This window comes from Homo sapiens, chromosome 1 (assembly GCF_000001405.40).
Source record: "Homo sapiens chromosome 1, GRCh38.p14 Primary Assembly".
In the NCBI taxonomy this organism is placed as follows: Eukaryota; Metazoa; Chordata; class Mammalia; order Primates; family Hominidae; genus Homo; species Homo sapiens.
The window spans coordinates 21,238,705-21,251,743 of NC_000001.11; the positions used below are offsets into that span (position 1 = coordinate 21,238,705).

Consider the following 13,039-nt stretch of genomic DNA (forward strand, 5'->3'; position numbering starts at 1 on the left):
GTGACTGGTCTACCCTGAGTCACAGAAAAAACTGCCCCAGGGCCAGGGCTCCAATGCCATTGAAGATCTCCTCAAATGAGAACACCACAGCAACACCGCAGGACTTTTTTCTTTTTTTCTTTTTTTTTGGCAGGGTCTCGCTCTGTCACCTAGGCTGGAGTGCAGTGGTGCGATCACACAGCTCACTGCAGCCTCGACCTCCCAGGCTCAAGTGATCTTCCCACCTTAGCCTCCCGAGTAGCTGGGACAACAGGTGCAGGCCACTATGCCTGGCTAATTTTTTCTATTTAAAAATTTTTTTTTTTTTTTGTGGAGACATCATCCCACTATGTTGCCCAGGCTGGTCTAGAACTCTTGGGCTCAAGTGATCCACCTGCCTTGACTTCCCAGAGTGCTGAGATTACAGGCGTGAGCCACCACACCTGGCTCACCGCGGGATTGCAATGCCTTGATTCTTTCTTGGTCTTGCCTACAAGCCCCAACAGTCCATACAACCCCTCTGTGCAAACCGGAAATAGGCGTCTGTGGGCTGCAACCTCCTGGGCATGGCCCAGGGACGCGTGCTGGGCTAATGTCAGCCCCAGTCACTCCCCGGCCAGGCATCCCTCTGTGGACAGTATATATGACCACGTGTGGTGGCCCTGCTCACATAAATCCCTCGTACGACAGAGGAAGTGATGTCCTCTTAACCCCAAAGAACAGGTGGTTAACAACCACCCACGCTCAGGGCAGTCTGATTCATCATGGCCCTAAACTGACAACAGCCAAAATGCCCATCAGCAGGCAGACGGATCAACAAAATGTGGTATTTTTATACAGCAACATACTACTTGGCAACAAAAAGGAATGAACTAGCTACTGATATATACGACAGCATGGATAAATTCCACAGACTCAAGCTGAGCAAAAGCAGCCAGGCACATCGTGTATAATTCCGTCCACACCCAGCTGCACCAGCCTTGGGGGCTGGGGGCTGACAGGAAAGGGGCATGAGGGTACCTGCTGCTCAGAGGGCGCTGGACAAATGGATGATGGGAATGTTCTCTATCTTTCTAAAATTTTTTATACATTTTTTTCTTTCTTTTTTTTTTTTTTAGCATGCTATGCCCAAGGCAGAAGGGGATATTCTCTATCTTGACTGTGGTGATGGTTACATGGGTGACTTCATTGGTCAAACTCATTGAGGCCAAGTGTGGTGGCTCATGCCTGTAATCCCAGCACTTCGGGAGGCCGAGGCAAGTGGATCACTTGAGGTCAGGAGTTCAAGACCAGCCTGGCCAACATGGTGAAACCCTGTTTCTACCAAAAATACAAAAATTAGCCAGGCGTGGTGGCACATGCCTGTAATCCCAGCTACTCAGAAGGCTGAGGCAGGAGAATAGCTGTAACCTGGGAGGCGGAGGTTGCAGTGAGCCAAGATCAGGCCACTGCACTCCAGCCTGGGTGACAGAGCGAGACTGTCTCAATTGAAAACAAAAACAAACAACAAACAAACAAAAAAGGCCGGGATGGTGGCTCACACCTGTAATCCCAGCACTTTGGATGGCTGAGGTGGGTGGATCCCCTGAGGTCAGGAGTTCGAGACCACCCTGGCCAACACGGTGAAACTCCATCTCTATTAAAAATACAAAAATTAGCCGGGTGTGGTGGTAGGCACCTGTAACCCCAGCTACTCGGGAGGCTGAGGCACAAGAATCGCTTGAACCCTGGGGATGGAGGTTGCAGTGAGCTGAGATCATACCACAGCACTCCAGCCTGGGTGACAGAATAAGACTCTGTCTCAAAACCAAACCAAACCAAAAACTCACTGAACTGAATACTTAATGTACACTGCATTTTTATTGTATGTAAATTATGCCTTAGCTACAAAAATTCCTTCTAGGCAAGAAAGAAAGGAAGGGCCACTCTTCTTCTTACCCATGTTCTTTTTAGTTTTCCCAACTACGTGTCCATTTGGATGCCTTGCCCTCAGCCTTTCCCTCCCTCCCGCGCCTACCCTCCCTCGGCTGAGAAGCCCAAAGCTGGACACATGGTCTGTGTCTGGCCGAGGCCGACCACACAGGATGTCAGGACGAGGGGGACTCTAATTTGAAGCTCCGTGGAGGCTCCAGGCTGTGAGGGCTGAATCACAGACAGACTTTCTTATGTGTCGTCTTCTCTGGAGATTCTCTGGATAAACCCATTCCTTCACACGAGCTTTCATTCATTTACGCATCCAGCGTTCTGTGAGCAGTTGCCCTGCATCCTGACTGTGCTAGGTCTTTCGAAGCTAGAGATGAATCAACAGTGAGCCTGTACTCCTGGGTCTCAACTGAAATGCCCAGAACATCCAGTGAGAGAAACAGACATGTAATTGCACCATCCACAGCAGTAATCACAGTGAAGTGTAGCAGTGGAGTGAGAGCGGGCCCTACTGCATATACTGCTCACAGTAAGATTCTCCTGCCTCAGCCTCCCGAGTAGCTGGGATTACAGGTGCCCACCACTACCCCCGGTAATTTTTGTATTTTTAGTAGACACAAGGTTTCGCCATGTTGGCCAGTCTGGTCTCGAACTCCTGACATCAGGTGATCTGCCCGCCTCAGCCTCCCAAAGTGCTAGGATTATAGGTGTGAGCCACCGCACCCAGTCTGTTTCTTTTTGCAGATAAAAAACTGTGGCACAGAGAGGTTAAATCACTTGGCCAAAGGGATCACCCAGGGAGTAAGTGGTTGAGGTGTTTTTTTTTTTTTTTTTGAGATGCAGTCTTGCTCCGTCTATCAGGTTGGAGTGCAGTGGTGTGATACCGGCTCACTGCAACCTCTGCTTCCTAGGTTCAAGCAATTCTCCTGCCTCAGCCTCCCATGTAGCTGGGATTACAGGTGTGTGTCACTACACCTGGCTATTTTTTGTAGTTTTAGTAGAGGCGGGCTTTTGCCGTGTTGGCCAGGGTGGTCTTGAACTCCTGGCCTCAGGTGATCCCACCAGCCTTGGCCTCCCAAAAGTGCTGGGATTACAGGCATGAGCCACCGCACCCGGCCTGAGGTGGAATTTGAACTCAGAAAGTCCGGCTCCAATGTCTTCCTTCAAAGAGGCCACGCTCTCTGCCTACAGGTCACGAAGTCCTGGAAGTACTACAGGATGGTGAGAAAATCTCCAAAAGGAGCGAGGGTCTGATCGATCTGACCGGTCAGGAAGCCTGCATCTTGCAGGAGATCTATGAGTCAGGTCTGGGAAGATGAAGAGCAGCCAGGCAGCCTCCTCCACCCTGACCTGGCTGCAATTTTTTTTTTAACCTCTTCCTCACTGTAATACAAGGAGCACTCAGCAAGGGGTTCCTTCCTCCCTGCTGGAAGTCTCAAGTCACAAATGGGTGATAGCTGATGAGAAACGGCTGCATGCAGCGCTTGAGCAGTCAGAAGAGACTTCACAGGGATCCCCTCGTCTAATCTTAGGCGGCCCTTGGATAAGCAAGGCAGGGATCTGTTACCCCTTTCTACAGATGGGAGATTGAGCCCCTGCCCCAGTGAGGCAATCTGCCTAAGGTGTGATTAGAAGAAACAATTCAAACTTGGATCTTCTGACTCCAAATTCCATGCCGTTTCCTCACAGCAGGCTCCCTCCCTGCCAGGATGAACAAACGCACACACCACACTGCTTCCCATGCTCTATGCTTTTTCCCGAATGAAGGCCATTCACAAAAGTCCTGTGAGGTGAGGTCAGGAGTGATCTCCAATTGCAGATTAAAAAAACTGAGGCTCAGAGAGGTGTAAGGACTACCCAAGGTCACACAGCTAGGAGGTGGCTTTGAGTTGGGCTGAACACAAGGAGGAGGGACCTGGCCTGGGCCCAGACTCTGTCACAGTTGGGGAGTGGGGAGGGCTGGAGATTAAGAAACAGGTGAGCAGCAGCCTTCACCCATCAGCCCTGGGGTATCCAGAGACCCCTGCTCAGACCCTCCCACTTCAGGGTTCCCACTTGCCCTTGCCTCTCTTGAGGCCTCCCTGTGCCCCACTTGCTCCAAGTGCCATATTCAAGCAGCACCCTGTGCTTTGAAGGTGGCCCAGGGAAGCTCACTCCATTACTGACTAATTAATTAATTTTTTAAAAAGTGATGGGGTCTTGCTCTGTTGCTCAGGCTGGAGTGCAGTGGTGCAGTCAGTGATAGCTCGCTGCAGCCTTAAACTCCTGGGCTCAAGCAGTCCTCCTGCCTCAGCCTCCAGGGTAGCTGGGACTACAGACATGCACCACTGCGCCTGGCTCAGAACTTTTTTATCTTGCAAATCTGAAACTCTATACTCATTAAACAATAATTCCTCATCCCTCTTCCTCCATATCAGCCCTTGGCAACCACAGGGAAGCTTGACCTTAACTTTTGGTTCCTGCAGAGCAGAGGCTGAGTGGTACAGAGCTCAGGGCTATGGAATCAGATAGGCTGGATTTCAGAGCCTCCTCTCCACTTATAAGCAACTTTGAACAAGTCCCTTTCCCTCACTGAGCCTCGATTTCATCATCTGTAAAATGGAAGAGGATAACAGCGGTAGTAGGAATTCATAATGCCTATAAAAGGTAGATATCCAATAATGGTATCTTTGGTTATTATCATCATTATGTAAGTGAGTAGCTGAAAGTGCCTCAAAGTTGTAAATATCAGATCTGGGATTTTCATTCAAGCTTGCTGCTTTCTTTTTTCTTAAAATAAACACATAAATATATTAAAAAAAAAAAAAAAACAGAGACAGGATCTTGCTGTTTTCCAGGCTGGGCTCAGGTGATCCACCTGTCTCGGCCTCTCAAAGTGTTAGCACTACAGGCGTGAGCCACCACACCAGGCCCTTGCTGCTTTCTTGCTGGGTGACTATGAAAGTCCCTTCACCTCCCTGAGCCTCAGTTTCCTCATCTGTAACCTGGGAAGGTGAGAGAATATGTGGGTGTATGTTCCACACACAGACCATCTTTGGAACCATCATCCTGGGTCCTGATCAAATCTCTCTGTAGGAAGTCCCCTGGGAGGCCAAGTTCTGCAGGGAACAGAATCCTGGCTTTGGCCCCATCTCTAACCCAGGGCCAGTCCAAGGTAGATGCAGGAGGAGCAGGAAGGCAAGTTGGCCAGGCAGGGCAGCCAACCCACTGCTCCCGCTTTGTCCTCTGCAGGGCAGTATGCTTCTTGTGGCCAAGGTCTGGTGGTGCCCTTGGAAGTGCCTCTGGTTAGAAATGGGGCTTGTTCCCAGCTACCTTCTCCCTCAGTCCCCTTCCTGCCAGAGGTAGGTTTGCATGGGGATGGGAGAGAGGACGTGTAGGATGCATTCCAGGGCTCGAAGCAGGAGCCCACATCCTGCCATTCTCTGCCAATCCTCATCTGGATTGGACTCTGGGAAGGGCTGCAGGAGTGGGGTCCAGCTGGAGTCAGCTCTGCCTCCTCTCTGGGGAGGATTGTTGGGGTCTTGCTAGCTGCTGTCTGGGTTGGGGAAGCTGTGCCAGGTGAGCTTGGCACACCAGCCTCTACTGCTCTGTAGCGGGGCCTCTTCCAGCCACTCTCTGGGGCCCGAGCGTGATGTATCCCATCAGCACATACGAGAACTGGTCATTTCCTATCACCTCCCTCAGCCGGTGTGGGCTCTCGGGGTACAGACCCCAGCTCACCTGTCTCAGTATTCCCGTACTGGGCTTAGAGCCTGGCACGCGATGGCAGGAGTTCAATGAGTAACCATTAGTCGGCTGCATGAGTGAGAGGGTGACAGCCACTTCCTTGGGGAGAAGGTGGAAGTGGCTGTGGAACTTTCCACTGGGGGTAGGTTCCCCTGTGGGAGGGCAGGGAAGGTCCCTGAAGCCTTTGGAAGAATGGACCCTCAGGGCTCCTGGCAGGGGCATTTAACGGCAGGTAGAGCCCACCTGGCCTGGGGTTTCCCAGAATACAAACTGGGAGGAAAATAATAACACTGAACAGTCGCGTGGTGCTTCTAAGGACCAGGTGCTGTTCTGTGTTTTACGTTTCCGGGGAAGAAGTAATACTATTGGTGGTCCCCTGTGCAAAGTGGGGCTAATAACAGTACTCACCTCACAGGCATTGTGAGGATCATGAGTTGTTCAAGGGGAGCATCTATCATCACTACTGGCAACTACTTTTTGCTATAAATTGGCTGAGTGGCTAGGACTCCTCTTTACCCTTTACTTGGCATAAGCACTCCTTCCGGAAGCTTCTACCCACCCCCAGCTGGCTGAGGTCCCTTCCTGTGCTCCCATAGACACCTTGGCATAAAGTAGGCGCTCAGCCCATATTCAGGCATACGCAGTAGCAGGCTCACCTTCTTGGTCCCGTACATGACTTCCATGAACTTCTCATCGGCGTCCTGAAAGCGCTGGTCAAGGAAGGAGCTTGTTTTCCGCACCAGGTTCCAGATCATGTAGTTGTTGAGCAGGCTGCGGGGAGAGGAGGCCAGAGAGGCTCAGGGACACCTAGGCAGGGAGGATTGCGGCCCTTCCCCTGCTGGCCCCTAGGGGGCTCTCAAACTTGGCCTGTGACCCCAGGCCCCTTCCAGCCTGCGGGGGCTTGGTGGGTTACTGCTCCCTAAGCACGTGCAATGTAAGCTCTTCAAGGGAAAAGCCTGGGTCTTCTACCATAGGAAACGCTTCAGTGTTGAGTGCAGTCACTTGTATACCACAGGTGCTCAATAAATGCTTGTTGCCTAGCTGCTCTGTGTCTGGAAGCTATGAAGCCCCAGCATGGAGACCCACCCCAATGGTGTATGCTACAGGGCTGGGCTGGAGAGGTGACTACCACTTCTACAGCTTGGAGGTGCCCCAGCCAGAAGGCCAGAGAGGCTAAGAATAGCAGGGGCAGGAAAAGAAGCTCAGCCCAGCCAGGCCAAGCTTTCCATGATGACAGCTCCTACTGCCCCACCTGCAGGGCACAGGGAACCTATCTGTAGCTGTTGCCACCGTTGCCAAGAAGTCACCTTGAGACTGTAGTGAACATCTAACCTCTAATCAGAATCAACCAAAATGCCTGATAATGAGAAGGAGGAAGTAAAGAACTGTATTTGTACACGACGGAGTACTATGCAACCATGAAAAATGATGTTTGCAGAGGTTTTGAGATGACAAGGGGGAAAATGTTCAGGATACAGGTCAAGGGAAAAGGAGACTAGACATTTAGTTATGATAATGGGAAAAAAAGACCACATATTAGAAAACCGATCTCTCTTTCCCTCCTCTCTCCTGCCCTCCCCCATGCTTTCTCTCTACATATGCACACACACATACCACAAGATCAACAGGAGTCATTTAAAATTTTTTCAGAGCCTGGTGAGGTGGCTCACACCTGTAATCTTAGCATTTTGAGAGGCCAAGGTGGGAGGATTGCCTGAGACCAGGAGTTTGAGACCAGCCTGGGCAACATAGTGAGACCCCATCTCATTAAAAAAATTTTAACAAGTAAGTTTGGGGAGTTAGGAAAAAAATAAGTTAAATACGATAAATTTTTTTCCCTATTTTTTTGGTAGTTTTCAAAAAATTTTTTAAAAATTATAAGTATTGCTGGGTGTGGTGGCTTATGCCTGTAATCCTAGCTCTTTGGGAGGCTGAGGCAGGCAGATCAACTGAGGTCAGGAGTTGGGGACCAGCCTGGCAAACATGGTGAAACCCCATCTCTACTAAAAATACAAACATTAGCCGGTGTGGTGGCAGGCGCCTATAATCCCAGCTGTTTGGGAGGCTGAGGCAGGAGAATCATTTAAACCTGGGAAGCAGAGGTTGCAGTGAGTTGAGATCGCGCCACTGCACTCCAGCCTGGGTGACAGAGTGAGACTCCATCTCAAAAAAAAAAAAAAAAGAAAAGAAAAGAAAGAAAATCGTAAGTATTAACTAAAAATAATAGCCAACATTTACTGAGTCCCAGTATATGCTAGGCACTCTATTAAATCACCTCATATGGATTGTTTCACTTGATTCTCACAACAGCCCTAAATGGTAGGTGCTAGGTTTTTTTGTTTGAGACAGGGTTTTACTCTGTCTCCCACGCTGGAGTGCAACAGTGCAATCACAGCTCACTACAACCTCTGCCTCCTGAGCTCAAGAGATCCTTCCACTTCAGCCTCCCTCTCAAGGAGCTGGGTGACAGGCACGCGACACCATGTCTGGCTAATTTTTTATTTTTTGTAGAGACACCGTCTCGCCATGTTGCCCAGGCTGGTCTCAAACGCAGGGACTCAAGGGATCCTCCTGCCTCTGTCTCCCAAAAGTCCCGCAATTACGGGCGTTCATGCCCGGCCACAGGTGATATTTGTATCACCATTTTATGAAGGAGGAGAATGAACTTAAGAAAGGTTACGAAATTTGCCCAAGGCTACAAAGCTGGTAGTTTGAAAGAGGCTGGGATTTAAACCTGTGCCTGTAACCAGGATGTCCTGCTGCCTCTCGTAAAAGCCCGCCCAGGTCCCACTCTCCTGAGTCAGACTGTCATCCCCACCCCTGCCCACCTGCCCAAGAAGAGGGCTGTCTGTGAGAGGCGTGCCCCAGGCCACTGGGGGTCCTCTTACCATCTGTCGGTGGTGTTGATGAGAGTGGAGATCTGCTCAAGGTATTCCTTGTCATAGACCACAATAGGCTCGGATTCATTGATCTCCACGGGGTAGAAGATGGTGTTGAGAAAAGGCAACCAGTTGATGGCGGGTGCCAAGGTCTGCAAGGGAAAAGGACAGTGTGACCCTGTGGGGCTGCTCCTCCTCACAGCCCAGGGCTCTAGGACGGGCTTCTACAGGAAGCAAAGGAAAGAGCTTGGGCTTGGCGCCATCTGACAGCGCACCGGGCAGAGAGTCAAGCGGAGCCTGGCGGGCTTTTGTCAGAGATGCTGTAGGTAGAATTCTAAGGAGTCCAACACCAAAATTTAACCTGAAATGGAATGAGGATGCAATGAGAAGATGCAGCAGCTGCCGCTACCATTCAGCAAGCGTCTCCTGTGTGCCAGGAGCCGTGGCAAATGATTGATGCATATGATTCCACCTGGTCCTCACGCGAGTCCAAGCAGTAGGTACTATTATCCCTGCTTCATGGATGAGGAGACTGAGCTTTAGACAGGCCTGAAACAGTTGAGCTTGTAGACTCTGCAGCCAAACTGCCTGGGCTCATCTTCTAGCTCTCTTCCTTGCTAGCTGTGTAACCCTGGGTAAGTTAATGCATCCTTCTGGGCCTCAGTATCTTGTCTGAGAAGTGGGGATCACCATAATAACAGAACCCACTTCACTGGGTTATTTGTGAGGACTGAACAAGCTTATGCTGTTTGTTCTATTCAACATGGGATTCTGTAAGTAACATCAGTGAACTTCTACATGATTGGTAAATTCAGGAAGACAGCAGCATAACTTCTGAGCTGCATTGGTCCGAAGGTGATATTTCTCAGGCATGGGATCGGGAAGGGTTGAACATTAACTTTCAGCAAGAAAGGAAAAGCCCTCAGCTCAGCTAATGCACACAGCAGGCTGGTCAGCTCTACTTTTTTTTTTTTTTTGAGACGGAGTCTCACTCTCTTGTCCAGGCTGGAGTGCAGTGGTGCCATCTTGGCTCACTGTAACCTCTGCCTCCAGGGTTCAAGTGATTCTCCTGTTTCAGCTTCCCGAGTAGCTGGGATTACAACAGGCACCCACCACCATGCCCACTTAATTTTCGTATTTTTAGTAGAGATGGGGTTTTGCCATCTTGGCCAGGCTGGCCTTGAACTCCTGACCTCAAGTGACCCGCCTGCCTCAGCCTCCCAAAGTGCTGGGATTATAGGCATGAGCTACCGCACCCAGCCTGGTCTGCTCTATTTTAAGATGACTGAAAATGAGCGCTCGCGCCTGGGGCTTCCTCTCCTCACAGAGGCGCCTTCCAGACCTGTAACTCTCAGCCTCCAGCAGGTTGCACTTTCTCTGTGACCCTAAAGGCGCTTGTTCAGAGCTCTCTTTTTCTTTTCTTTTTTTTTTGAGATGGAATCTTGCTCTCATGTCTAGGCTCTAGTGCAGTGGCGTGATCTCAGCTCACTGCAACCTCCGCCTCCCAGGTTCAAGCGATTCTCCTGCCTCAGCCTCCCTAGTAGCTGGGATTACAGGTGTGAGCCACCACTCCTGGCTAATTTTTGTATTTTTAGTAGAGACAGGGTTTCACCATGTTGGTCAGGCTGGTCTCGAACTCCTGACCTCATGATCTGCCTGCCTCGGCCTCCCAAAGGGCTGGGATTAACAGCACTTTGAGCCACCCCACCTGGCCAGAGCTCCCTGTCTTATCTGCAGGGTCTTGGTGTCCACAGCTAGCATTTCCCAGCTGGTGCTTTCCCCACGGCAGCCTCCAGCCATGCTGAGGTACTCCTCAAGTTTCTAATTATTGTTTTGTTAGGATTCTGATTACAAAGTTGCGCAACTTAAAAAAAATTGTGGTACCCTTTGGAAGGCCGAGGCCAGTGGATCACCTGAGGTCAGGAGTTCAAGACCAGCCTGGACAACATGGTGAAACCCTGTCTCTACCAAAATTACAAAAATTAGCTGGGCGTGGTGGTACATGCCTGTAGTCCCAGCTACTCGGGATGCTGAGGCAGGAGAATCGCTTGAACCAGGGAGGCAGAGGTTACAGTGAGCCAAGATCACGCCACTGCACTCCAGCCTGGGCAACAGAGCGAGACTCCATCTCAAAAAAAAAAAAGCTGTGGTAAAATACATATAAAATTCACCATCTTCACCATGTTTAAGAGCACAGTTCAAGGACAGGAGCAGTGACTCATGCCTGTAATCCCAGCACTTTGGGAGACTGAGGTGGGCAGATCGCTTGAGCCCAGGAGTTCAAGACCAGCCTGGGCAACATGGTGACACCCCATCTTTACAAAAAAAAATTTAAAACTTAGCTAGGCATGGAGGTCTGAGCCTGTAGTCCCAGGTGGGAGAATTGCTTGAGCCTGGGAGGTCGAGGCTGCAGTGAGCTGAAATCACACCACTACACTTCAGCCTGGTTGACAGAGTGAAACCCTGCCTCAGAAAAAAAAGAGCACAGTTCAGGGGCATTCAGTCCATTCACACTGCAGTGCTACCATCACCACCACTATCCAGCCACAGATTGCTTTTTTAAATTATTTATTTTGTTTTGAGACACAGTCTCACTCTGTTGCCCACGCTGGAGTGCAGTGGTGCGATCTCAGCTCATTGCAACCTCCGCCTCCCGGGTTCAAGTGATTCTCCTGTCCCAGCCTCCCAAGTAGCTGGGACTACAGGCACATGCCACCACCTTGGCTAATTTTTTTTTTTTTTTTTTTAATAGAGACGGGGTTTTACCATATTGGTCAGACTGGTCTCGAACTCCTGACCTCTGGTGATCCACCCGTCTTGGCCTCCCAAAGTGAGGGGATTACAGGCATAAGCCACCGCGTCTGGCCCCACAGATTTCATCTTGCAAATGTGAGACTCTACCCATCAGGCAATAACTTCCCACTGGCCCCAACCCCCACTCCTGGAAACTACCATTCTACTTTCTGTCTCTATGAACTTGACTATTCTAGGTACCTCATATAAGTAGAATCAGGCAGTATTTGTCCTTTTGTGATTGGCTTATTTCGCTTAGCACAGTATCCTCAAGTAAAGTTGCATAACTTTTGTTCTGCTCTTGTTCTATTTTCCCCACACGTACTGCTATTTTTAGTGTGCGATTTTACAGAACACAAGGTTTTTTGGAATTATATATACTGCTACAGCAAAAATGCCTGTACATGTCGATCACTTAGATGGATATGTCTGGCATTTAGCAAGCAACTCATCAATATTGGCCATTACAATCTTTGTTCAAGGTCTCCCATGTATGTTCCTGGGCCTGTCCAATTCCAAATTCTCTTTTGTTTTCTTGAAAAAGGACAAAATGCAAGACAAAGGAGGTGAGAGAGGCTCCACATATGGCCTTCACATGGAAAAATCAATCAATAAAGTAAAATTGATCTGTAATGTAAGACCAGTCTATAGCCTGTTGGTATATACTGATGACACCCTCTGTGAGGGAGGTAGCCATAAACCCCCGCTTAACAGATGCTGAGGCCGGGCGCGGTGGCTCACGCCTGTAACCCCAGCACTTTGGGAGGCCGAGGCGGGCAGATCACGAGGTCAGGAAAGGGAGACCATCCTGACTAAGAGGGTGAAACCCCATCTCTACTAAAAATACAAAAAATTAGCCGGGCATTATGGTGGACGCCTGTAGTCCCAGCTACGCGGGAGGCTGAGGCAGGAGAATGGCATGAACCCGGGAGGCAGAGCTTGCAGTGAGCGGGGATCGCGCCACTGCACTCCAGCCTGGGCGACAGAGCGAGACTCAGTCTCAAAAAAAAAAAGAGATGCTGAATTTGCAGATGGGGTAAGGTGACTTTCCTGAGGTCACATAGTTAACTAGCCACTGTGGAGGTCTAAAACCCAGGTTCACTCATCTCTTTGGGTTTAAAAGGGCAACTCAGCTGCTGGGGAACAAGGACCTCAAAGGACAGGTGAATTTGTGAGGAGGGCAGGTCCTGAAGGCAGTGGCGTGCTGGTAAACAGTTAACAACTGCGCCGGGCACGGTGGCTCATGCCTGTAAATCCCAGCACTTTGGGAGGCCAAGACAGGAGAATCACCTGAGTCCAGGAGTTCAAGACCAGCCTGGCCAACATGATGAAACCCTATCTCTGCTAAAAGTATAAAAAAATTAGCCAGGCGTGGTGGTGCACGCCTGTAATCCCAGCTACTTGGGAGGCTGAGGCATGAGAATCACTTGAGCCTGGGAGGCGGAGGCTGCAGTGAGCCAAGATCATGCCACTGCACTCCAGCCTGGGCAACAGGGCGAAGCTCTGTCTCAAAACAAAAACAAAAACAAAACAGTTAACAACTGGCTCTCAGTTTCTGGGTAACTCTTCCCACCGTGGCTGATGGTAAAATACCTGCGGAGCTGGTAAGAGATGTGCGCAGCGGACTTGGGGGCCAGGGGGCTCCAGTGCATCCCTGCCAGCTAGGTGAGCTGGGAAGAGCCACTTGGGCTAAGAATGAGCTAAGAATGAGCAGACCTGGATCAGCATCCCCAGGAGGA

At 50.1% G+C, this 13,039-nt stretch overlaps 1 protein-coding gene across 8 annotated transcripts in view; it reads right to left on the bottom strand.

Moving 5' to 3' along the window:
* ECE1 (endothelin converting enzyme 1) overlaps window positions 1–13,039 on the bottom strand; it is a 128,255-nt gene that overhangs the window by 21,455 nt on the left and 93,761 nt on the right. For all 8 annotated transcript variants that reach the window (NM_001113348.2, XM_011540873.3, XM_011540872.3 and 5 more), the window contains 2 exons: window positions 8,517–8,659; window positions 6,285–6,399 (listed from right to left, as the gene is read on the bottom strand). In NM_001113348.2, the coding sequence (NP_001106819.1) occupies window positions 6,285–6,399; window positions 8,517–8,659 (258 nt within the window). The remainder of the gene's footprint in view (window positions 1–6,284; window positions 6,400–8,516; window positions 8,660–13,039) is intronic.